The sequence below is a fragment of the Homo sapiens genome, chromosome 14, assembly GCF_000001405.40.
Source record: "Homo sapiens chromosome 14, GRCh38.p14 Primary Assembly".
Classification (NCBI taxonomy): domain Eukaryota; kingdom Metazoa; phylum Chordata; class Mammalia; order Primates; family Hominidae; genus Homo; species Homo sapiens.
In genome coordinates this window covers 34,039,582-34,063,962 of record NC_000014.9, presented here as the reverse complement: position 1 = coordinate 34,063,962, position 24,381 = coordinate 34,039,582, and the positions used below count along the sequence as shown (strand labels likewise).

The 24,381-nt window shown below is 43.9% G+C and overlaps 2 long non-coding RNA genes across 2 annotated transcripts in view, besides 8 other annotated features; one reads left to right on the top strand and one right to left on the bottom strand.

The window, feature by feature from the left end:
• The window catches only part of LOC102724945 (uncharacterized), a 244,858-nt gene that overhangs the window by 139,766 nt on the left and 80,711 nt on the right, over nucleotides 1–24,381 (top strand). The window lies entirely within an intron of this gene.
• On the bottom strand, nucleotides 1,601–23,982 carry EGLN3-AS1 (EGLN3 antisense RNA 1). Its single transcript, NR_184209.1, has 3 exons — nucleotides 23,793–23,982; nucleotides 22,694–22,758; nucleotides 1,601–4,831 (listed from the first exon to the last, which is right to left on the bottom strand). It is a non-coding gene; the product is annotated as an EGLN3 antisense RNA 1 (long non-coding RNA).
• Nucleotides 3,387–3,746: a silencer, noted in NCBI's record as "silent region_5661". NCBI's record gives its function as "represses an Ori minimal core promoter by ATAC-STARR-seq in GM12878 lymphoblastoid cells {active_cell/tissue: GM12878}" and the evidence as "EXISTENCE:reporter gene assay evidence [ECO:0000049][PMID:35858748]".
• Nucleotides 3,387–4,146: a biological region, named in NCBI's record as "H3K27ac hESC enhancer GRCh37_chr14:34529023-34529524".
• Nucleotides 3,645–4,146: an enhancer, noted in NCBI's record as "H3K27ac hESC enhancer chr14:34529023-34529524 (GRCh37/hg19 assembly coordinates)". NCBI's record gives its function as "activates a minimal SCP1, AML or CMV promoter by ChIP-STARR-seq in primed H9 embryonic stem cells {active_cell/tissue: H9 hESC(primed)}" and the evidence as "EXISTENCE:reporter gene assay evidence [ECO:0000049][PMID:30033119]".
• Nucleotides 8,630–8,679: an enhancer, noted in NCBI's record as "active region_8247". NCBI's record gives its function as "activates an Ori minimal core promoter by ATAC-STARR-seq in GM12878 lymphoblastoid cells {active_cell/tissue: GM12878}" and the evidence as "EXISTENCE:reporter gene assay evidence [ECO:0000049][PMID:35858748]".
• Nucleotides 19,328–20,527: an enhancer, noted in NCBI's record as "BRD4-independent group 4 enhancer chr14:34512642-34513841 (GRCh37/hg19 assembly coordinates)". NCBI's record gives its function as "activates an origin of replication core promoter dependent on BRD2, P300/CBP, MED14 and CDK7 cofactors, and independent of BRD4, by STARR-seq in HCT116 cells {active_cell/tissue: HCT116}" and the evidence as "EXISTENCE:reporter gene assay evidence [ECO:0000049][PMID:35650434]".
• Nucleotides 19,801–20,200: an enhancer, noted in NCBI's record as "active region_8246". NCBI's record gives its function as "activates an Ori minimal core promoter by ATAC-STARR-seq in GM12878 lymphoblastoid cells {active_cell/tissue: GM12878}" and the evidence as "EXISTENCE:reporter gene assay evidence [ECO:0000049][PMID:35858748]".
• Nucleotides 19,906–20,200: an enhancer, noted in NCBI's record as "tiled region #2297; HepG2 Activating DNase matched - State 5:Enh, and K562 Activating DNase unmatched - State 5:Enh". NCBI's record gives its function as "activates a minimal TATA promoter and a strong SV40 promoter by Sharpr-MPRA in HepG2 and K562 cells {active_cell/tissue: HepG2 | K562}" and the evidence as "EXISTENCE:reporter gene assay evidence [ECO:0000049][PMID:27701403]".
• Nucleotides 21,046–21,340: a silencer, noted in NCBI's record as "tiled region #12661; HepG2 Repressive non-DNase unmatched - State 6:EnhF". NCBI's record gives its function as "represses a minimal TATA promoter and a strong SV40 promoter by Sharpr-MPRA in HepG2 cells {active_cell/tissue: HepG2}" and the evidence as "EXISTENCE:reporter gene assay evidence [ECO:0000049][PMID:27701403]".

Below are 24,381 nucleotides of genomic sequence, written 5' to 3'. Positions count from 1 at the left end.
CACCCGGAGAGATTGCATAGACCCTCTGTGGCAGCACCCCTTCCAGAACCAATACAGGAGGCAACTCAGAAGAGCATGGCTGTGATAACTGAAGCCACATGCAGCCTGGCAGGATAAACACTGCCTGGGAATCAGATGCTATTTTCCTGGCCTCTCTCAGGTACTGGGGCCCAGTGGGGAGGTGATTTCTCTCACGACAGACACACCCCAGGCTGTCCTCTATTAGTCACAGCACATGCTTAACTCTGTTTGGTTATGTTCCCCTGACGTTCTGCACGTCCCACCATCCAGCAGTGTGTGTTTACCCCTCCCCACAGCTAGTTGGACTAAACAACATCTCTCGTGCAACACGTTCTAAAGGAGCAGCTGGGAATCAGGTTTAAATCTTGGATTTTCAGCATAACTGAGTTAAAAATCCCTGAGACATCTTTTGTCTATGGGTGCCAGGGAGAGAAAGCAAACAAGAGAGAAAGAAGGAATTCTTAGTGTGTTTGACTTAAAAGCTCGGACGGCTTCTTTCAGAAGGCACTGGTGTGTCAGGCTAATTTTTTAAATGTAAGAGAATCCTGTTTGGGGCTTTCAGTGGGTAGATTTAGCTATTAAGAAACAAAAACACCACTGGTTTTTTTTAAGTGGGGCAGGGTGGGCTTCTCCAAACAACAGTTCCTAGTCAAACTCTTGTAGAATGTCAATTTCAAGCTCAGTCCCACCTCACTGAGAGACACAGGCTTTCATTCTTTTCCTACACAGCGATTTAACCCTTTACTAGGGTAAAGGATAGTTATAGGATAAGAAAAAAAAAATCTCCTTTTTAAAACAGGATCCATCTGTTATCAAAAGATCCCACTTCCTGATGGACACCTAACCACCATTTACTGGGGGATCCCTGGGGAGGCCACTGTACTAAGTGCTTTGCATATATTATCTATTCCGTTCCCCCAGCACCACTGTTATCCCCATTTCACAGAAGAGGAAACAGAGTCAGAGAAACTGAGTGATTTGCCCTAAATTGTAGTCATTGGCTACTCGAGCCTAGGTCTGAGCAACTACAAAGCCTGGAATCTTGACCAATTCATTGAGCTGCTCCAAAAGAGGACAACACCTGTGAAAGGGTCCTGCACAGAGGCAGAGAATAGTAGACATTCATAGATATAAGGTGGATATGGTTTCCATTTCCACCTTTACCATTTACTTGCTGCGTTGAATTCAATGACTCAGTTAATTTTCAGAATTGTAGGTGACCCACTTGTAGAGCATGGATGGTTCCCTGTCCTCAAGGGTTCTACTATCATCTGGTGTTTCCCCCTCAGGCACCAACCAGAACGCCATATTTTAGGGAGGGTAAGGATTGAAAGAAGAACCTGCAAAGCATGGTCGCCAGCAGCATCATGCTCAGGACAGCCCTGGTCTGGAAACCCTGGCCAGCCATGGCATTCCAGAGGCACCCAGCCCGCCCCAGGGTGGGGTTAGAGCAGAGGGGTCTTGGGGAGCTTGCTCCATTCTCTGTTGTGACCGAAGATTGTGGGTGTACAAGCGTAGCCTCACCCGAGACATGCTCTCCAGGCCCATCCCTTTTACACCTTTAGCATAGCACTTGACCTGCAAGGTTGTAATTATTTTTAATTTGAATATTCAGAAAAGTACAAATGAAAAAATAATGATTACTCATATTCCAGCAACCCACAGTTAGCCAGTGTTGACATATTTGCTTCTAGTTTTATTTTATATCTATTCCTTAAAATAAAAAACTGCATGATATATAAGCACATTGTTCTTTGAAACAATTATTACAATATGAGAATAAGCTAAATTCCTATGACTACCATTTCAAATCTGAATTCCTCCCCTTCCATTCAAAGACAGCTTTAAGTTTGGTGTGTATTTTTCCAGCATATATATATATATATATATATATATATATATATATATATATATATGGGATTTTTTGTGTGTATGTACATTTTCTTTCTATAAATGGCATCATGCTGCATGTATCATTTTGCAACTTGCTGTTTTTCATTCAATATACTTTTGAGATTTTGATACACATAGATGCAGCTGATCCCTTTTAATAGCTCTAATAGTACTCCACTGTATGAACATACCACATTTATAGATAAGTGCATTTGAATTTTCCATTTTTTCCTATTATGAACTATGCTAAAATAGACATCACTCATACTCAGGACCACCACACTGCACAGTTCCAGAAAGCTCCATTCACTTCTACGAACGTGTCTTCTGGAGTTGTACAGCATACAGCCTGCTCTGCTGTGCTTGGCAGCCCCTGCCTGTATCTCCTCCATTTATTCTATTAACAAGATTTATTCGGTGCCTACTGAATTCCAGTGCTCTGCTTGTATTAATGTATTTAGACCTCTGAAATGTCCTAAAAAGTAAGTCGTTTTCACCATTTTTATTTTCCAAAACAAGAAGGTGAGGACAGATGGGGGTACTCACTTGGCTAAGATCACACGGTCTGTAAATTGCAGAGCCAGCATCAGAACCTGCACAGCCTGGTTCCCAAGTCTGGGTGCTGAACCGTCATACTAAGTCTTCCTCATGTTTCACTGTCTACTTAGTTAATATCTCCCACTCATCTGTAACCCTGAGAGCAGGGACCACGGGGAGCCACTTATTTTGCGTCACTGGTGCCCAAATAGTGCCTGATCTCCATGACAGGCTCAATAACGTTCTGTCAGTCACTTTACTCATGACTGCAAGCTCCTTTCCTAATCAACGTTTCCTCTCCCCCTTCCCCATGTATCTCTTTCCCTTCATAAGCACCCACCTCGTCTCCCTCTCCACGACATTCCAACCCCTGAGCAAGGCTTTGAAAAAGTGACATAGGCACATCACAGATGTGCCGTTGGCTCTAATTTGTGAAAGAACATTTTACCGAGGGGCAAAGGAGGACTTGGAATTTTTTCCTGCCCCCAGGAGGCCCAGACTTGCAACCCTGTAGGTCTAGAACTTAAGCGGAGGTCCTGCTATGTTCACACATTTAGTAGAGAATGACTTCTAATTCCGTCATTCAGCTGTCAGGCACGTAGGCCGCTTCCTTTTATAAAGCTGGTTGTCGTAACTAAACAGGTGCAGATTTGAGGAAATGCAGACCGACTGGAATGATAAGTCCCACTGCATGTGAGATTAGGTGGATAGAGGACTCGAGTCCCACCCGCCCTTTACTGTCTTTAGTCTCCCCAGTCCGCCCTGGGCACCACCCGCCGAGGCTGGGCTCTCGCAGCTACCTCTCCATCTATCTTCATGACAGCTGCGGGGGCCGGGGGCAACTTAGTCGGGACAAACGTGAGCGAGCGAGTGTGTGGTTCAAAGAAAGGAAACGCAAGGGACAAGGAGAAGGTCGAGCTCCGGCTGAGGAAGAATCACGGGCCGGGCTCGGTCTTGCCCGTCACCCTCGCGCCCCTACTTCCGGGCGGGCAGGCACCGATGGGGACTCCGCCCAGGGAAGGCGAGCCCCACGCCCACGTGGCTTTCGAGGGGGACAACCTGGGGCGTGGGGACACTGCAGGGCACAGGGCACCCGCGAGTGGAACCACCTAGGCGCCCCCTCCCGGGGCCGGTACGTGCGGGCTGCTGGCGCTGCGCGCGGGAGCCCTCCCTCGGCCCGGGGCTGCGCTGGAACGCGCTGACTCACGCTAGCGCTACGTGAGCTGCGAGCCTGCCGGGCGGGGCTGGCTGTCCAGCCCCGGCCGCCGCCCGCCGCAGTTACCGACTACCTTCGGGGCGGCCGCGGGCGCAGGCACAGTGCGTGTGGCTCGGTGTCCGCCGCGGCGCGCCCTGGCGAGACTTCACCCCGCGCCCCGCCGCGCGCTCGCCAAGGCTGCCCGCCGGGCATTTTTGATCATTTCGATTGTCCCTCCGGCTCGAAAGCTGCAGCAGAGCTGGGATCTTGCATCCGAAGCGAGGGCACCAGCCGGTATCTGCTAGGCAGGAGCGGCCAGAGTCGCGTTAGGGCGGCCTTGGGCAGGGCGCTTCGGTTTGGCCTCTCTTTGGCTCCGGGGGAGCCTGCGGAGGCCCAGGGCCGGTCTCTGGCTCTGCACTTGATGGCCTCCTATCTAGGGGAAGGGCCAGTTAGTATCCCACCCGCTCCCTCGCCATTGTAGCTCAGTTCATCCCCAAAGACCCCGTGGAGTGGCAAGGGCAGGCATCATCCAATCCATTTGGCAGAGGACATCAAAGCTGAGGTTTAGATATTCATCTGTTGACAATGATGAGGATGTTTCATCGTAACTTTTCTATCTAGAACCTAGCTCTCAGTTTATCAGTTCTAGTGCTAACGTGGCCTGTTTTAGCGGTGTCTCCCATTCTGTGTTCTCTGGAAAGACAAGTTAAAGGGGAGAGTTTGTATTAACAGGTGTCACGTCTTCTCACTCTCGCCATATCCCTGTACCTTCTGGTAGATGTAAACGGACACAACTGTGCTTATAAAACCAATAACTCGCCAGTCTTCCTCAGGTCCATTCAAGACCATTTGAGTGGGTCCTTGGGTGCCATGGACAGAAATCTTGTGGGGACATGGATGAGGGGGGCCTCCAGCCCCTGAGGACTGTCAAGACCAGGGCCTTGGGGAAGGGCAGCCGAGCTTCACATTGTCCCCACTTAGCCACTTGTCAGGGTTGCTGTGAGGCTCCAGATGAAAATACATGGAGTTTCCTTAACTACCGTGGCCCACAGAAATGACACATGAGATTCTTTTCCTTGGTCGTAGGATACTGGGGGCGGGGTCAGTGAGAGGCACTGTCCATCTCAGAAAAATCTGTATCACTCTTGTTTGCTCATCTTGAGGAAGCCATGGAGAGCACAGTTTCTATGGAGTCAGCAGAAACAAAAATGAGATTAATTCACACGTAAATTCTGCCTTTAGATACAGAGACCTAGGTTATAGGATCTTGACTGTATACACAGTTAAGCCATTTGTAGAGTTTTCCCTATTTGGGGGTAGTTTTTGTTCTGATTTTTTTTTTCAGAGGGGATGTTTGCCAAATTCTTTCTAGATTATAAAATTAATACAAACTCTCATAAAAGTGAATACACTAAAATATAAAGAAGAAAAAAAAAATCCCGTAATACAACATTCATACACCAATAAAATGTTAGCATTTGAGGTATATTTCTTTCGAAGTATTTCATTTTGTTTTATTTTATTTTATTTTTGAGACAGGGTCTTGCTTTGTTGCCCAGGCTGGAATGCAGTGGTGTGATTACAGCTCACTGTAGCCTTGACCTCCTGGGCTCAAGTCATCCTCTCACCTCAGCCTCCAGAGTAGCTGGGACTACAGGTGCATATCATCATGCTCAGCTAACTTTTGTATTTTTTGTAGAGACAGGGTGTCTCCATGTTAGCCAGACCTGTAGCTGGGACTACAGGTGCATATCACCATGCCCAGCTCATTTTTGTATTTTTTGTAGAGACAGGGTTTCACCACGTTAGCCAGCCAGTCTCAAACTCCTGGACTCCAGCAATCTGCCTGCCTTGGCCTCCCAAAGAGCTGGGATTACAGATGTGAGCCACCATGATCAGCAACCAAGTATTTTAAAAGTTTATTTTATATAATGTCTAATATAATTGAGGCCACATTCTATGTCTTGAAAATATTATTTGCCTTGCTTAATATTATATCGTACACATTTCCCATGTCATTAAACCTTTTATAGTCAATTTATGAATGTATTATGTATTTTTTAAGCAATTCCCTTACTGTTGGAAATTTAGGTTGTCTCTGTTTTTTGGCTTAAGCAATACTCCAATGAATATATTTGTGTATAAATATTTGACCAGCTTATTATCTCCTTAACATAAGCTTCCTAAAGTGAAATTTTTAGGTTTAATAATATAAACATTTTCATGACAAGATCACATTACTTGGTGGCAATTTCCATGAAGACAGGAACTATCTCTGCCTGCTTTACTGCTGTATTACCAGTGTCCAGCATGGAGATGGTTCTTAGTGTGCATGTTTTGTTTGTTTGTTTGTTTGTTTTTTGAGACGGAGTCTCACCCTGTTGCCCAGGCTGGAGTGCAGTGGCGAGATCTCAGCTCACTTCAACCTCCGCTTCCTGCGTTCAAGAGATTTTCCTGCCTCAGCCTCCCGAGTAGCTGGGATTACAGGCTCGTACAACCATGCCTGGCCAATGTTTTTTGTATTTTTAGTAGAGATGGGATTTCACCATGTTGGCCAGGCTGGTCACAAACTCCTGATCTGAAGTGATCTGCCCGCCTGGGCCTCCCAAAGTGCTGGGATTACAGGTGTGAACCACCGTGCCCAGCCTTAATGTGCATTGTTGAATGAGTGAAGAAAACAAGGAAGAAATTTCCCTTCTTGCTTAGGAATATCAAAACTAAAGACTGTGTTTTATCCCAGCTGGTTCTAACCTGCTAAAGCTGACCATTAACTTTAAGGAACCCCCCCGGGCCCCACCCACACACAGGACCTGATTGAAAACTCTTTCCTGACCACAGACAGTGACACTTGTTTAAATGACTGACTGTCTAGAATGCTAGTTGTCAATGCTTAACTAGAATAATCATCAGGCACTTCTCTCCAGCACTTAAAAAGCAACCCCTGACATTTCCCTAACAGGGATACATTGCAAATTTCTGTTTTGGTTTGTGTTCCCTTGCCTGGTAAATTAGTAGACTCAGCTGTGATGAAACAACAACAACGACAACAAACCTCTAGGCTTATTCTTTGACAAATGAATATTGCCAAAATGAAATACATAAAAGTTGTAGCAATCTACAGTTCTACCATCAGTTTATATCTCACTGCTTTTTTGGTGCAATGTGTCTTGACCTTTGTTATTTAATGGATTAAAATGTGGGATAATTTTTTGCCTATTAAATTAGGTAGACTGACCTTTTCTTTTTTGAGACAGAGTTCTACTCTCGTTGCCCAGGCTGGAGTGCGATGGTACAATCTCGGCTCACCACAATCTCTGCCCCCTGGGTTCAAGTGATTCTCCTGCCTCAGCCTCCCAAATAGCTGGGATTACAGGCACACACCACCACACTCAGCTAATTTTGTATTTTCAGTAGAGATGGGGTTTCTCCATGTTGGTCAGGCTGGTCTCAAACTCGCGACCTCAGGTGATCCGCCCACCTCGGCCTCCCAAAGTGCTGAGATTACAGGAGTGAGCCACTGCGCCCAGCTGACTGAACTTTTAAATACAAATGTGATGATTTACATTTTTTCTTATCTATTGAGATCTTAGCGATTTTCTTATTAGTCTGTATGACCCTTTTATACACTAAGAATATTGCAGAGTAAATTCTTCATAATACTTTTAAAGTGAATCCCTGCCAGGAAGATCTTCCTGCAACACATAATTTTGATGTATTAAATTTTTGAAGCAATTGTGCATTTAAATTACTGCTGGAGGTGTTCTAAGATGGAAGGGGTAGTTTCTAGCTACTGGAAATATCTAAGTAGAGACTGTTTGATCCCTTGGGAGGGATTGAAACATATGATGACAGGTTGGACCAGTGCTCTTTCGGTTCCCTTACAACCTTGAGATTTTGTGATTCCATAACCTGTCCAAAAATAAAAGGCAATAAGGTTTTTTTTGCGGGGGGGGGGGGTGGGGTGGGGTGGTAATTTTCTTTCTATTAATACTCTGTAAGATTGACAGGCTCCTACAGAAGTCTAACAACTAAGAGAACCAAAGAATGATTTTCTGAAGCTACTGCCTTTATTCACACTTTTAAAAAGCCCAGGGTGGTTGAAGAGTGTGAATGTGCTTGGCCTTGCAGCTGTGTCCTGGCCCTTTAGAATTTGTTATCAAAACAAAACATGCATTTCCACTGGAAGTTTTTAGAACATTGATTTTGCAAACTTTTTCTAATTTCACTTTTGGTTTCTTCTGTGTAGTAAAATCTGTAAACTTATATTTTGCATATTTATTCTTTGTCAATTATCTGTTGTGTAGATTATTACGTATTTACATACACACAGCAATGCATACTTGTACACGAAAACCATGTATACACTATTTTATGGATAATTTAAGGGATTTTTTTTCAAGTGACTGCTTTCAGTTATGTGCTAACTTTGGAAACTACCACCAACATAAAAATCTGCTCTACTGAGGTATCCACCTAGATTTTTATTGTGGAAGTGCTTAATTCCTGTGTCTTGACATTTAGCATAAATGACATAGAGCTCATTTTACATCTATTGTGTAATGTGAGAGCTGTGTTCTGACAGCTCCTGTATTTCCCTTATTGGAATGTTCATTGTTCATTTGTAACTGCATATTTAATCTTTAGTCTCCTATATAGGCTACAAGTTTTGGGGGGCCATGGGGAGCAAGGGGACCTGATCCTCTGGTATCCCCAGAGTTTAGTGCTTGGCATTCTATAAAATCTCTGTTGAATTGAATTGAATGTAATAAATTACATGTAAAAACTAGATAGGAAAAAGCGCAAGAGGCTGTGGACTTAGTGTGAGGTCAGAAAGCTGGCTGAAAAACTAAGCGATCTGAGCACCTCCTAGAAGCTGGGCACTTAGCTGGCCTATCACCTGCCTTATCTTACTGAATCCTCACAACTTTGTTTTGAGAGTTTTTGTTTCTGTTTTGTTTTTATAGAAGAGGAATCCATGGTTCAGAAGGGTCAATGAACTTAGTCAACTGGTAAATGGTAGGACTGGGAGTTGCTCTGAGTTTATGGTGGCTTGAAAATCCAGGCTCTTTTCTCTTGAGTAGGATGCCTGCAGTATGTAGTCTAGTCTTGATTGGGGCAGAGTTGGGGAGGGAAGATGTGGCTTTAGGAAAGGACCTGGCTCCATTAACTTAGCTGAATTTTGTCTTTGTAATCGCTCCTCTCCACACCCCTTCCACTTCTCCATGCCCTCAGCTTTACTCCCTTCACCCCGTCAAGAGTCCAATGCTCTCATGATGCCTCCCCTCCTTACAGTGAGAGCTTCTGACCTTCTTTTCTAAACAAGCCTCAAACTCTGTCCTCCCCATCCAGCTATAGTCCTTAGTATTCTACTTCTATTTAATCTAATAAACTCTTCTGGGGAGAAAAATGGGAAATTGTTGTAATGTTTCCCATCCTTCTCATGTGCTTTTTTTTTTTTCTTTTCTTTTCTTTTTCTTTCTTTCTTTCTTTTTTTTTTTTTTTTTTTTGAGACAGAATCTTGCTCTGTCACCCAGACTGGAGTGCAGTGGCACAATCTCAGTTCGAGTAATTCTTGTGCCTCAGCCTCCCAAGTAGCTGGGATTACAGGCATGCACCACCAAGCCTGGCTAATTTATGTATTTTTAGTAGAGATGGGGTTTCACCATGTTGCCCAGACTGGTCTTGAACTCTTGGCCTCAAGTAATCCACCAGCCTCAGCCTCCCAAAGTGCTAGGAAATCAGGCTTGAGCCACCGTGCCTGACCTCACGTGCTCTTTTTAAATACAGATGCTGGTTGCAGGACTTTTAAGTTTGCTGGGGGAGCATTTGGGCAACAGGATAATTTGTCTCTTCAAATAAAATCATAGCAGGCAGCTACTTACTATCAAGGCACAAATGACTCTCAGATCTCAGGGACAATAATAAGGGCTAGCATTTCATTCATTGAATACATTCACGTGAAGGGCTACTGTGTGCTGGTGACTGTTCTAGGTGCTTTGTGTATATTAATTCGGTTAAATCCTTCTAATATCTCAATGACGTAGGTGCTAATGTTGCTCATACAGTTGGTGAGGGGAGAGTTGGGGCTGGGAAAGGGGCGAAGATAAAAAGGGAAGCTTTCAACAGTGGCTTGGGAATTTGACTGGAGATGAAACAAAAAATCAGGTTAGCCAGTGAACTGTTTCTAAATCCATTAAATAAAGACCTAGTTTAGACTAATGAGAGTAAGGAAGAATTTGTGTGAGTGCTTGCGCCAAGCGGGCAGCTGCCAATTGTTGAAGCAGGGCCTGCTCAAGTGTGTGCCCCAAGGAGCAGGAGGACCACTGGAGGGATCTGCTGCTCTGTGGTTCATTACAGGTAGTTTATTATTGGGTGGAACTGGCCGGAAGTTGAGCCAGCCAGGAGGGAGTGCAGAAGAGGAGTCTGCCAAGGGATATTGTGGGGGAAGATTCCAGGCTGGGAGAGTGAGCCAGATGGAGGGAGGAAATGAGCTTTTCCTGCTGGGTGGATTCCATCCACATGGAAATCCAAGTATGGGACTCTGAGAGTGGGAGGGTTGCAGGAGAGGGCCTGGTTTTGACTGGGAATCCCAAAGGCAGGACTGCTCCTAAAGTTAGTGGGTGTGGATTCCTGGGAAGTCTCCTCATCATTACAAAGCATTTACTGTGTTCTAAGCTGTGTTAATTCTCATGAAGGAGTGTTTCTGGAAATGAAATTTAGAAGGTGTGAGAGAATCATTTTCTGGGTGAGTGGCTGAAGCAGGCAGCATACTATGATCAACAAGGTGATCAACTGTCCTGATTTGCCTGGGACTGTCCTAACTTTTGCAATAAAATTCAGTCCCCCCTTCAGAGTACCCAGGACTCGGCTCATATGCCAGATCCCTGTAAAGGCCTTTCCTGACCATTATCTGAGATACTATCCTACCCTGTCCCCAGTGCTCACATCCTGTTCCCTTCAGAAGTACTTTCTCCATAACACTTACCCTTCCTTGCAGTCATCTTGCTTATTTGTTTATTGTCTCTTATCCAAAACTAGAATATAAGCTCCAGGAAGGCAGGGACTTTGGCTTTTCACTGTTGTATTCCCAGGGCTTAGAACAGGGCCAGGCACACAGAAGGTGCTCATTATATGGTTGTTGAGTGAGTAATTTTTTGTTTTTTTTTTAGTTTCAAGCACTGTGCCCAGCTCTGGATATACAATGGTGAGAAAAATCAGAAATGGTCTTTGTACTCATGAAGCATAGTGGAGGAGAAATACATTAATAACATATTTCCACCTACACAAGTAAAATTACACCTGGGATGAAGGAACAGCTGAAGAGGGGCCTGAAGGAGAGGTGCTGATGCTATGAGAAGATATGATGCTGGGTGGAGTCGGGGCCCCGGGGCCAGTGAAGGCTTGTCTAAGGAAGTAATGATTGAGTTGAGTCTAAAGGATGAAGAAGAAAAGGCTTTCTAGGAAGCAGGAACTGCACATGCAAATGCCCTGCAGCAGGATGGACCAGGAGTGTTTGGAATCCACAAACAGGCCCTGTGGTTGCAGTGCCCAGAGCAAGATGACTCATGACGCTGCGGGGAAAGGCCGAGGGGCAGGCACAGCCAGGCCACTCAGAACCTTGTACATTGGAGACCTTGCTGAAGATTTGGCTGTTTTTCCTAAGAACAGTGAGAAATCACTGAAGGGTTTAAAGTGTGTGTGTGTTGGCTGGGGGTGGTGGGGGGCAATCAGTCTTTGACGTGACTATTCCGTAGACTACCAGGGTTCCTCCATCCAAGTGGCTAAATGGTTAAAATAGTTAAAATTAATTAGGGAAAGGACAATGAAAATATTAACAATTATAAGAGGTAGCTCTTATAGTCTTAGTTCTCTTTTGTCTGCTGATGGAATAAATGTGGTATCAAAGACAGAAGAGTGGGGAGCAAAATTTATGGCCAAATAGATTTTTGAGGAATCTTTCTAAAAGTTGGTACTCAATAAAGAACATAAACTGCAAAGCCAAAGTATTTAAAGCACTCTTCTAGGCTCTGTGGGCAGAGAAAAAGGAAACCACAAGAATGTTCTTCCCCCTTAGGGAGCTTAGATGTTAAATGAGAGAGCACAGGACAGACCCAGGAACATGTTCAACAAGTACTGCTGCTGAGATACCCAGGCACATCGTAATATACAACCTTCCCTGAGCAAAGTCCATGTCTGAATCATTTCTGTTCCTCCCACAGATGTTAGCCAAGTGCTTTGGCCACAAGATGCGCCAAATGAATGAAGCTGAGCCTGTTCACCTCGGCAGAGAAAAGCAATTACTCAGTAGGCAAGTCAGGTCTCTAGTGATGCTTCCATTATAAAAAGTACTTTTAACAGAATGTAAACTCCATGAAGACAGAACTTTGTGTCCATTTTTTGGTTGTTCATTGGTGTGTCTTCAATGCCTAGTACCTTGTCGTTCAATAGTATTTGTTGAGTAAATGAATTTGTTAGCTTAAGTTAGAGCCCTTGGAATGATCAGAGGACTTTGTGAGGAATTGGTCAAGTAAATTAATTTTCCCTCCATATGATGGGGGTACTATTCAGCATGTAGAGCGTGTCCTGGAAGAAGGCTTACTGATGAGGCAGTGTAGCGAAAGAACAGGGCATGGAGGCCAAGTGCCTGCAGCAGAAGCCTGGTTCTACCATTCCCTAGCTATGTGACTTTGGGGAGCTTATTTATTTAATCTCTCTGTAATGCAGTTTCCTCAACTGTAAAATGGGTATAATAGTGCATACCTCCAAAGTCTTTTTTTTTTTTTGAGACGGAGTCTCGCTCTGTCGCCCCAGGCTGGAGTGCAGTGGCGCCATCTCGGATCACTGCAAGCTCCGCCTTCTGGGTTCACGCCATTCTCCTGCCTCAGCCTCCCGAGTAGCTGGGACTACAGGCGCCCACCACCACACCCGGCTAATTTTTTTGTCTTTTTAGTAGAGACGGGGTTTCACCATGTTAGCCAAGATGGTCTTGATCTCCTGACCTCGTGATCCGCCCGCCTCGGCCTCCCAAAGTGCTGGGATTACAGGCGTGAGCCACCGCGCCCGTCCACATATACTGACTTTTTAAATCCTCACAACAACTCTATGAAGTAGGTATTATCGTGATCCTCATTTTATAGTAAGTGATACATAACAGTAATTTCCTTGAATGTGATGGGTAGAAATTGGAGGGTTTTGAGGAGAGGAGTGACATGATCTAATGTGTAGTTTAACACGATCACTGCATCTGCTGTTTGAAAACAGACCGAGGAGAGTGGAAGGGAGTGAGGGCAGAACCAAGGATACCACTTAGGAAACTCCAGCAAGAATCTAGGTGAGATTTCATGTTGTCTTGCCTCAGGGCAGTAGTTGGTGATGCAAAAACAGTCTAATTTACATTATCTTTTGAAGATAGAACTCAAAGTTGGTGATGGAATGGAAGGATGGGAGGTATGAAAGAGATGAGTCATGAATGACTCTATGATTTTGGATCCAATCAACCAGAAGGATGAAATTGCCATGAGCTAAACTAGGAAAGACTGCAGGCGAGCAGGTTTAGAATGTATAGTTTGAGGTGCATATTTGGCACCCAAGTTGAGATGATGAATAGGCTGGTAGAAGTATGAGCTTGGAATTCAGAGAATCCTGGGCTGGAGATGTGAATGTGGGAGTCATCAGCCTACAGATGATATTAAAACCCATGCTACTGGATAAGATCACCAGTGGAGCAAGGAGAGAAGGAAAGCAGAAGTCCAAGGGTTGAGCCCAATATTCAGAGGTTGGGGAGAGGAGAGGAACCAGCAAAGAGACTGAGGAGGACCAGGCGGTGAGACTAAAGGAAACTAGGAGCATGTGAGATACTGGAGGCCACAGAAGAAAAGACTTCTAGTGTTTCATGTGCTTTTAAATCTACTCTTGGCAATGACTTTAGCAATTGCTCCCATGTCCGTGTCAGTGATATCACAGGTGAAGGAACTGATGCTCACAGAATTAGGCCCAAAAGGCAGAGTTTGTAGCAGCTATTGAAATGGGGCCCACATCTCCCCCTCCGTGTCCAGTGCTCTTTCACTGCACCACAACAGCCTCTGGTTGGAAGAAGGAGACTTGCCTAAGGCTATTATGTTTATACAAAATTATTCCCCCACCCCCAAAATTGTCTGTTTTAAACTAGACGTTCAACTTGGCTGCCTTGGTACAAAAAGCTATTTGATATTCAAGTAAGAGTGCTATAAAAGCAGACCAAAAAGGAAATAGGCTAGGCAACGTCATTGCCGACAGCTGAAGGATATGATAGAATTAGCAGCATCTGCTTAGGAAGTGCCTGACCTCACAAAGGTTGACAGGAATAATTTTGAGCCTGTGTTTGGAGCCACAGAGGATTAGGGGAGTGTGTGTGTGTGTGTGTGTGTGTGTGTGTGTATGCGTGTGTGTGTGTGAGAGAGAGAGAGAACGATGGAGAGAATGTGAGAGCATGAGCAAAATCACTCACTGACCTTTGGCTTGGTAAACTGTTTCTTGGGTTGCCTGGCCCCTGGTAAAGTCTTCAGGACTCTGCAGGGAAAATCCTGAGGTCAGGCAGATGAGAGGCGACTGTGATGACCCCATGATGGAGAAAGAGTGCAGGGGCAGTGATACATTCTGTGCTTGGTCCCCTGATCCTTATTGACAGGAGGGTGCCATGGGGAAAGCCAGTCAGAAATGGAAATGCTCTTTACCTACTCTGTCTTCTCTCCCTGCCTTCTTCTACCCAACAGCGGCATGAACTTGGAACTGTGAAAACAAAACTGAGTTAGACAAATCTCAGTGAGGAATTCCTTAGGATGGCATTGAAATGTCTGTAAGCACTGTGGTGCCAATAGGATGAATAGAAAAATAAATTGGAATCCCAGCCCTTTGGAAGGTTGAGGCAGGTGGATCACCTGAGGTCAGGAGTTCGAGACCAGCCTGACCCACATGGTGAAACCCCATCTCTATTAAAAATCCAAAATTAGCTGGGCATGGTGGCGCATACTTGTAATCCCAGCTACTCAGGAGGCTGAGGCATGAAAATTGTTTTAAGCTGGGAGGCGGAGGTTGCAGTTAGCCAAGATTGCGCCGCTGCACTCCAGTCTGGGCAACAAGAGCGAAACTCTGTCTTAAAAAAAAAGAAAAAGAAAGAAAAATCAGAACAGAATGGAGCAGCAAGTATTATACATTAGTTGAAATCAACCAAGTGGTGATTTGGGAGAAAAGCATCAGGATGGGAGGAAGGCTATGAGACAAGGCAACTCAGAAACAGGCCTGAACACTACAGCGGGATAGAGGCAGGGATCTGAGATTGGTAGCAAACCTAATATAGCTGAGATGGAACCCACAAAATTGCTTGGGAAGGTAACCCAAGAGTGTTTAAAATGACGTGATTGTTTCCTTATGGGGTAAGCATTTTTAATCCTGCAAAAATTTAGAAAAAAATGAAGAAATGTTTAAGAGAATCAAATTCATAATATTTTTGTTATACACATTTGGTTTTTTAAGTATTTGTAATATTTAAGGGAAACTGACCCATTAGAATAACAATCATCCTTTTGATGCCAAACAAAATATGTAATTAAGAAATTGATTTAGTTTTCTAATTTTAAATTAAAAGACATTCTAAAATTGCGATCAGTATTGGGATTCTTGAGAGAATATGGTTTTTCACATTTTAAAGCTTAATTTGTTAGAGCTATAAGAAGTTTTTAGACAACTGACATGAGAGAAATAAAATATATTAAATATATAAACGATATAAAATATTTGAATGAGTTTTATAAACTAAATTTATAAATGGGACCTAACATTTAATTAAAAAGCCCTCTTAAAAGTGATTGTTGGCCGGGCACTGTGGCTCACGCCTGTAATCCCAACACTTTGGGAGGCCGAGGAGGGTGGATCACCTGAGGTCAGGAGTTTGAGACCAGCCTGGCCAACATGGTGAAACCCCATCTCTACCAAAAATACAAAATTAGCCAGGCATGGCTGTGGGCACCTGTAATCCTAGCTACTCCAGAGGCTGAGGCAGGAGAATTGCTTAGAACCTGGGAAGTGGAGATTGCAGTGAGTCGAGATCGTGCCACTGTACTCCAGCCTGGGCAACAGAGGGAGACTCTGTCTCAAAAAAAAAAAAAAAAAAAAAAGTGATTGTTAACAATTGTCATATTTATATATATATATATTTTTTTCTGGTTAAATAAAATGTTTTATTATAATAAATCTCACCTGTTTCTACTTTTCTTTTTCTTTTTTTATATTATACTTTAAGTTTTAGGGTACATGTGCACATTGTGCAGGTTAGTTACATATGTATACATGTGCCATGCTGGTGCGCTGCACCCACTAACTCGTCATCTAGCATTAGGTATATCTCCCAATGCTATCCCTCCCCCCAACAATTGTTATATTTATAAAGAGTAATAATATTTCTATATTAAACTTAAAATCCTAAGGCAGAACCTAAGATTTTAAATTAGTAATTTACATAGATTGAAGATTAAGTTTTAAAAATTAAAGTAGCTCTTAATAATCTTTACTGGGCAAAAAAAGGGCCCTTGAGATTGGATAGGGTTTTGATGTTTGTCCCCTCCAGATCTCATGTTGAAATGTGATCCCAGTGTTAGAGGTAGGGCCTGGAGGGAGGTGTGTGATCCCTCATGAATGGCTTGGTGCCCTCCCCATGGTATTGAGAGGGTTCCCAGTCTGTGAGTTCACAGGAGAGCTGGTTGTTTAAAACAGCCTGGCACCTTCTCCTCTCTCTCTTGCTACCTCTCATCACATAACACGTCTTCTCTTCCGCCATGATTGGAAGCTTCCTGAGGCCTCACCAGAAGCATATGCAGTCACCAGCATAGTGACTGCCTTATTTTGTAGATAAGGAAAAGACACAAAGAAGTTAAATGACTTCGCAAGATTGCATGGCTAGCAGAGTTAGAGATAAGGCTGTGGGTTGTGTACTCTAATAACTCCCAGTTCAGGATTCTTCTTGGAGCACTTCTTTGTCAGGGCAAGTGGCTTTGATGGTGAGAATGAAGTCATAGCATCAGTTGGTGGTTCAGGCTTTACAATTTGGCTGAGGGGACACTGCTGCATTCCAAAGCTTTGGATGAAAGTTGATTAATTTTTAAATACACTCACCTCCCCCTGCAAACTTTGAAGTCTCTCCTGTATTCTGGTTGTGAATCTTCAGCCTTTCAAAGCAACCTAGTTCTAAGGAAACTGTCCTCAGGACTAAGGTCTCTCATTCTTGGAGATGTCTTTGGAGGGACACACCTTAGAGGCTCTCTCTCTCTCTCTCCCCCAGGCCCTGTGCAAAATCCCAAAAATGCTAGCTTGGTAGGTGACTGTAGTTGAGAGGAATGGGCCTGGGAGGAGGTAGGGGCAAGTCAGTATATCCCAGTAAAAGCAAGCTTTCTGCATAAGGCGGGTGTAGAAGATCTGATTCAGCAAGGCTGCCCCTGAAAGTCAAGAAACAAGAAGAGGCACAAGGGAAGAGTCCTTGAATTTCAATCTCTAGCGAGCTCGTGCGTGAAGGAGCTTTGGAGGGATTTCCCTGAGGTGGGCTGAAGGAGTGTGACCAGTGAGTGAACACCCCTAGGGAAGAAGGGCCATGATGCCGTTGAAGGTATGCGAAGTACAGAGACTCCCCCATTTTGTGTGTTCTTCTCATGCCCCTTGTCCTATCTAGTATGTTTATATCTGTTTTGTTTGTTTGTTTTTGTTTTTGAGACAGGGTCCCACTCTGTTGTCCAGGTTGGAGTGCAGTGACACAATCACAGCTCACTGGAACTTCTGCATCCTGGGCTCAAGCGATCCTCCCACCTCAGCCTCCCCAGTAGCTGGGACACAGGTGTGTGTCACTACGCCCAGCTAATTTTTAAAATATTTTGTAGAGACAGGGTTTTGCCATGTTGCCTAGGCTGGTCTCCAACTCCTGGGCTCGAACTCCTAGGCTCAAGCAATCCACCTGCCTCGGCTTCCCGAAGTACTGGGATTACAGGCATGAGCCACTGCGTCTGGCCTAGTATGTTTATATCTGGGCAGGTTTGTGCAATATCGCAATAACCCCTCACAGGAAAGAGAATAGATAACAGTATTGCCACTTTAAAATTGAGGAATCTAAAGTCCAAAAAGGATAAGAATCAGCCAAGTATAAAAAAACTAGGAAGTAGCAGGGCCTGATTTCTGGACTCAGATCCACTATTGTTTATTTTTTTCTTCTGCTGTTCTTAGTCTTCCTTTTCATTTTAAAAGCTTTATTAATTTTCTTGTTTTTCACAGAGTTAATATATGTATTAAAAAATAGAATAGGCTGGGCGCAGTGGCTCATGCCTCTAATTCCAGCTCTTTGGGAGGCCGAGGCGGGTGGATTGCTTGAGGTTAGGAGTTCGAGCCCTAACCAGCCTGGCCAACATGGTGAAACCCCATCTCTACTAAAAGTACAAAAATTAGCTGGGCGTGATGGTGGGTGCCCGTAATCCCACCTACTAGGGAGGCTGAGGTAGGAGAATCGCTTGAACCCAGGAGGCAGATGTTGCAGTGAGCTGAGATCCCGCCACCGCACTGCAGCCTGGGAGACAGACCAAGACTCCATCTCGGGGAAAAAAAAAAGGAATAAAATAAATATACATTAAAAAAAAATCATAATTCTATCACTTAGAGGTAGTCATTGTTAACACCTTGGTATATGTTATTTTAGATATTTTTCTATGTATGTAATAGGTAAAAATGTGGTTTCATACAACTTATAATTTTGGTAACATGCTTTCTTTTCTTCTTTTTTTTTTTTTGCATTGGTTCAAAGAGAAAAAAAAAACCTATCTTCTCAACTATACCCTTAACAGTTATAACAATATATGTACATAGTTTAAAAAGTCAAAACAGTCCAGTGCAGTAACTCACACCTGCAATCACAGCACTTTGGGAGGCTGAGGCAAGAGGATTGCTTGAGCCCAGGAGTTTGCAACCAACCCAGGCAATGTAGTGAGACACAGTCTTTATAAAAAATCAAAATATTAGCTAAGTATGGTGGTACACACCATAGTCCCAGCCACTTGGGAGGCTGAGGCAGGAGAATCACTTAAAGGCCTGGGAGGCGGAGGCTGAAGTGGGTCATGATTGCACTACTGCACTCCAGCCTGAGCGACAGAGAGAAACGTTCTCTTGAAAGAAAGAAAAAGAAAAAGTCAAAACAGCACTACAAATGTTACATCAAGAAACATTTGCCGTGGCTACCCTGCTTCATACCTGATTCTGTACCCCTGAGGCAACTGCTTCCAAATCCGAAAACCTTCTAAACAACATGCTTATGCTGCTATTTCTTGATTTTGCAGGTTTGGATATTATGCACTAACTTTCTGCTGAGGCAGATGAGGAGTTAGTTTTCTTGTGTTTGCATCCCCCTTTCTGTCACTCTCCCCTTCCTCCCTTGCTCCAGATATGGTTATAGCACTGTTTTATGATGTGGATGAAACCAATATTTCGGTGGTCACATTTCTGGAAGTATGTGACGATCATTCACGCTGAGCCATGTACTGTGCTAAGATTACTTGTTCTCTCTTATGTAACTCTTTACCTCTGGAATGAATAATTGATTTATTTTTGTTTTAATTGGCTTAGTTGGTTGGTTTTGCACGCAAAGCTCCCTGACAGAACTGTGCATCACGTCCTGATCCATGCGCAAACATTATTCCCTCTTTCACTGAGACAGCCCTCCTAAAGGCCCCTGTCCTGCCCGTATTTGGGAGAGGTGGTTCTCCAGGGCCACCGTGTTCTCCTTGCCATCATTCTGGAATTCCTCTCTCCTGCTCTCCTGGGTTGGATGCCCTGTGTTCTGGCACCCGTGTCTTCCTATGTCTTGGTTGACTTTCTCCAGTTTGTTGCACACATCCCTTTTAGTGGATGAAGAGATAAAAGTTGGTTTTGTTTCCAGATCAACATAAATTAACAAATGGAATTCATCTCATGTGGGATCCACCAATTCCCATTTTACTTTGTAGACTCAGGATTATGGTCAGATTTGTTTTTTTCCTCTAGATTCAGTAAGCCTTCTACACTTAAAAACTTTATCTGAAAATCCAAGCTGTGGCCATTGCAGGAAACAATAGCATAAAGTGTGCTCCATTTAAAGAAGAGGATAATTTGAACTAAGAGCCTTCAGTCCACTGAAAAGTGAGCTCTGGAGACTCTGGTAGGTGATGTGCAGATTGTCACGTGTGCTGGCCTCACACAGCTCTTTCTCACACCTCTGCCCTCCATGTGGCCTGTGGGCTGTCAGATGTGGCTCAGAACTTTGTTTGCCACACTTCATTTGAGCACAAAGTATAGGGCTTGGACAGGTGTTGGGGACTTCACGGTGGCTTCTGAAATGGTTTCCCAGAAAGGCAGTGACTCATCCCAGGAAACCCTTTTGTTTTCTTTCTGACCTTCCCCCAACTTCCTGCTCCACCTATCTGTGCATGAGTTTTCACATTCCTCACCAAGAGACAGCAGCTCACCTCTAACTTTAGTCAACAGTGGTGACTGGAGACAGTTCTGGGAGTAAGACAAGGACACCCCTTCTGACAGTAACGTCCATGAGGGTACTAGGTTTTTCCTCCATGTCTTGGCATCTCCCCTTTGAGGCATGTGTTAGTTTCCATTCCATGACCCTTAGAGAATCCCTTTTCCAACGTCCTTAATCAGAGTAGATTGGAACATTATAAAAGACACAGGTTTGGCTGGGCACGGTGGCTCACGCCTATAATCCCAGCACTTTGGGAGGCTGAGGCAGGAGGATCATGAGATCAGGAGATCAAGACCATCCTGGCCAACATGGTGAAACCCCATCTCTACTAAAAATACAAAAATTTATTTGTATTTTTGTGTGGTGTGGTGGCGTGTGTCTATAGTCCCAGCTACTTGGGAGGCTGAGGCAGGAGAATCACTTGAACCCGGGAGGTAAAGGTTGCAGTGAGCCGAGATAGCGCCACTGCACTCCAGCCTGGGGACTCCTCCGTCAAAACAAAACAAAACAAAAAACCCCCACAGGTTTGCCCTCTTAGCCCTTGCTTTAATGTGGGATTACTTTTGCACAACACAACTCTTTTTCTAGAAAATATACATCACTATATATTGAGTAACCGATATTCAATATTTTTGGATTGATGTGAGCTAACTGGAGAGGAGGTTTGTAGTTGCTGACCCACTGTGCTTCAGACATAGCCAAGAAGTTCGAGGCTAGCCTGGGCAACATAGTGAGACCTCATCTATACAAAAAAATAAAAAACATTAGCTGGGTGTGGTGGGACACGCCTATAGTCCCAGCCAGTTGGGAGGCTGAGGTTGGAGAATCTCAGCTGAGGTCTTCAATAGATATATATTGGCATGAATTATACAATTCAAATTCCTGTATGTTAAAAGGGATCTTAAAGATCACCCAGTGCTCCTTTTCCATTTGGAAGACAAGGATCCTGAGGTCTAAAGAAATTGCTTTCTCATGGCTGCCCAGCCATGTCCTTGGCCTTATTGGTCCTGGCCCTTCTAAGGCTACTACTCACACCTGCCTGTGTGCTGCTCTCCCGTTGAACTCCAGTCCCTCCTATCTGCACTTCTTCACTCTGCACCTCAGGGTATAGTTCTCAGGCTGCAAAAACCCCTTGGCAAAGTCCTACCCTTCCTTTGCCACTGGCTTCCCTGAAGCCCCCTCCCTGGTTCTAGGCTTCTCTCTAGACTGCAGGCAAATTCAGATTGGTGATTTTGGTTTCCTTCTGCTGAGAATCCATGACTTCCCATGAAGGATATGTTTCAAAATAATTCTTGAAAACTCGAATAGGAAAATGCTCACTAAAGAAATTTTGAAGAAGACACAAAAAGGTGATGTTTAGCTTTTCTGGTATTTCTTTGGGCATTTCTCCACTAGATCCCCTTCCTCCTAAGCAATAGGTTGTTTGTATTTTTTATTATAATCCTCACCTTACTCATTCAATTTTGTGTCCTGCTATTTTCCCTTTGTGCTCTTTTAGTGTAACTTTATGACAGATGGATTGGGAACAAACACACTTTTTAAAAGGAAACTTCTGTAGACTACTGCCACCTATTTATAAAAATAGGTTCTAGGCTGGGTGTGTCTGTAATCCCAGCACTTTAGGAGGCCAAGGCAGGAGGATCACTTGAGGCCAGGAGTTCAAGCCTAGCCTGGGCAACATAGGGAGACTCCATCTCTATAGACAAAAATTTTAAAATATTAGCTAGGAGTGGTGGCACACACCTGTGGTCCCAACTACTCAGGAGGCTGAGGTGGGAGGATCACTTGAATCTGGGAGGTCAAAGCTGCAGTGAGCTGTGATCACGCCACTGCACCCTAGCTTGGGCGACAGAGTGAGACCTTGTCTTAAAAAAAGAAAAAAACAAAAAAAAGGAAAATAGGTTTCTTTACTTTTTGGTAGTGCAAACAACAATGTGCACATTCAAGGCTAGTGTTTGGAGACAGGAGCCATGCTCCATATGCCTCTACATCTTCCAGTCTTCCCCACCGCTCCTTTGGGGGAGTTGGGGGTTGCATTCTCTGTTATTGCCAATGGGGCCTGTGTTTTCTAATAGTCTATGAGTCAGAATCCTTCCTCTGTCACCATATCCATATTCAATCCTGTCTTCTAGTCTCCATGATGGGAACTTGAGAGCCTCAGCACCATCTTGACCTGTCTGTCATCTCTTTGATCTCTCATTTACTGTCAGTCTGTTGTAAAACTCTGCAGCCTTGATACCTGCATACCCCATAACTCTGTGAAAGCAGGAACCGAGTCTTCCCATAAGCCTTAGATCTGTCTCTTTATCCCCAGTGTGATGTCAAGCATAGAGAAGACACTGATACATGTATGGTGACTGAATGAATGAATGCACGAATGAATGATATAATTGCAGTGCAGAGTAGTCTTCCCTTCTAGTGATTCCAAAAGCAAAATCAAGACTGGAATAGTAACATTCTCTTCAGTGCATTTACTACCACAAGTGCAGAAACAAACAATAGGAAACTGAGAATCAGAATGGGTTGAGATTTACCTTGGATGCAAATGATGGTTTCTGGTTTCTCAAGCCTCTTTCTCTCTCCTCACAGCCCACAGTCCCTGGGAATTACAAAATTCTTTTTATCATTAAAGAATATTAAATGGCTATTTTTTCTTTAATTAACTGTCCTTAATTTTGAGACCAAAGAAAAGGTTTATTTCCCAAGATAGCAGCAGCAAGCTCTGCTCTAAGGGAAAGCCCACATTTTTTATAAACTTTCCTTAACACCTCAAAATTTTAGTCCCAGGGTAACCTTGCTTGAGATGTAAAATTGCTATAAGTGAAAAACTACTTACTCAGCAATATAAAAGAATGAACAATTGATACATACCACAACATGAATGATTCTCAAAATAATTATGTTGAATTAAAGAAGCCAGACCCCCCCCATCCTCAAAAAGCATATATACTGCATGTTTCCATTTATATAAAATTATAGAAAATGCAAACAAATATATAATGAAAGAAAGGAGGTCAGTGCTTATCTTGTGGGTAGGGAAGGAAGAGCAGGGAGGCAGGGATGATAAAGGGGCACTGGGAAACTTTTTGGTGGTGATGGATGTGCCGGTGATGGTTGATTGTTGTGATGGTTTTGTAGGTGTGTGCCTGTGTCAACGCATATTAAATTTTATATTGTAAACACATGAAGTGTATTGGATGCCAATTATATGCCAATAAAGCTATTTTAAAAATTGCTTCTGGTGGAATAGAGTCTTAGTTTAGGCTGCTATAACAAACCACTATGGACTGGGTAGCTTCAATAACAGAAATTTATCTCTCACAATTCTGGAGGCTCAGAAGTCAGCAGATCCAGTGTCTAGTGAGGGCCCTCTTCCTGGATTAGAAATAGCCATCTTCTCTTTGTATCCCCACATGGCAGAAACCAGAGAGAGAGCATCTCTGTCATGTCTTTTCTTATAAGGGCTCTAATCCCATTCAAGAGGGCTCCACCATAATGATATAAAAACTTCTGGAGGCCCCACCTCCAAATACCATGACATTGGGGATTTAGGTTTCAACTTATAAATTTGGTGAGGGAGACACAAATATTCAGTCCATAGCAGAGTCCTGCCCATCACCCTATATGTCCTACCTCATTTTCCAGCTTCCCGCCACTAAAGGATGATCATCCCCGATTTTGTTCCTCAAGTACAATCGGTCTTTTGCCATGGTAGACGCTGAGATTTAATTGCTTCCTCTGGAAGTACAGAAACTATTTTAACCGGGCTACTGTTCCCTCCTGGTTAATTCCCTGAGCCTCCTGAGTGCTGCAGACAAGTTTGTCCTCTTTTTCTATTTCACACCATTTTAAGGGTTGCCTCCCTCACAGTCCAGTGGCATGTTTTGGATAGACAGCAGCCGATTGGGCACCTGTATTACTGTCTGTCTGGGCCATGACTCACCAGCCCCAATGATAACAATCCTTAGACCTTTGACATGTTTTCAGGATGCTTTTCAAAATACCTATTGGTTCCACAAAGGAAGCCCTGAGACAGTGAGTGACCCACCAGTGTTTGCCTCTTCTTCTCTTGTGTATTTCTTTCATTACTCTCCAAGGTGCTTTAATATTAGGTAGTTCCAGATCAGCAGTAAGAAATGCAAACAAATACCCTCCTCAGAAGTTCAGCATTATTTTACTGTCTTTGAAATATTTTCAGAACTTAAGGGAGAATCAGGAATGA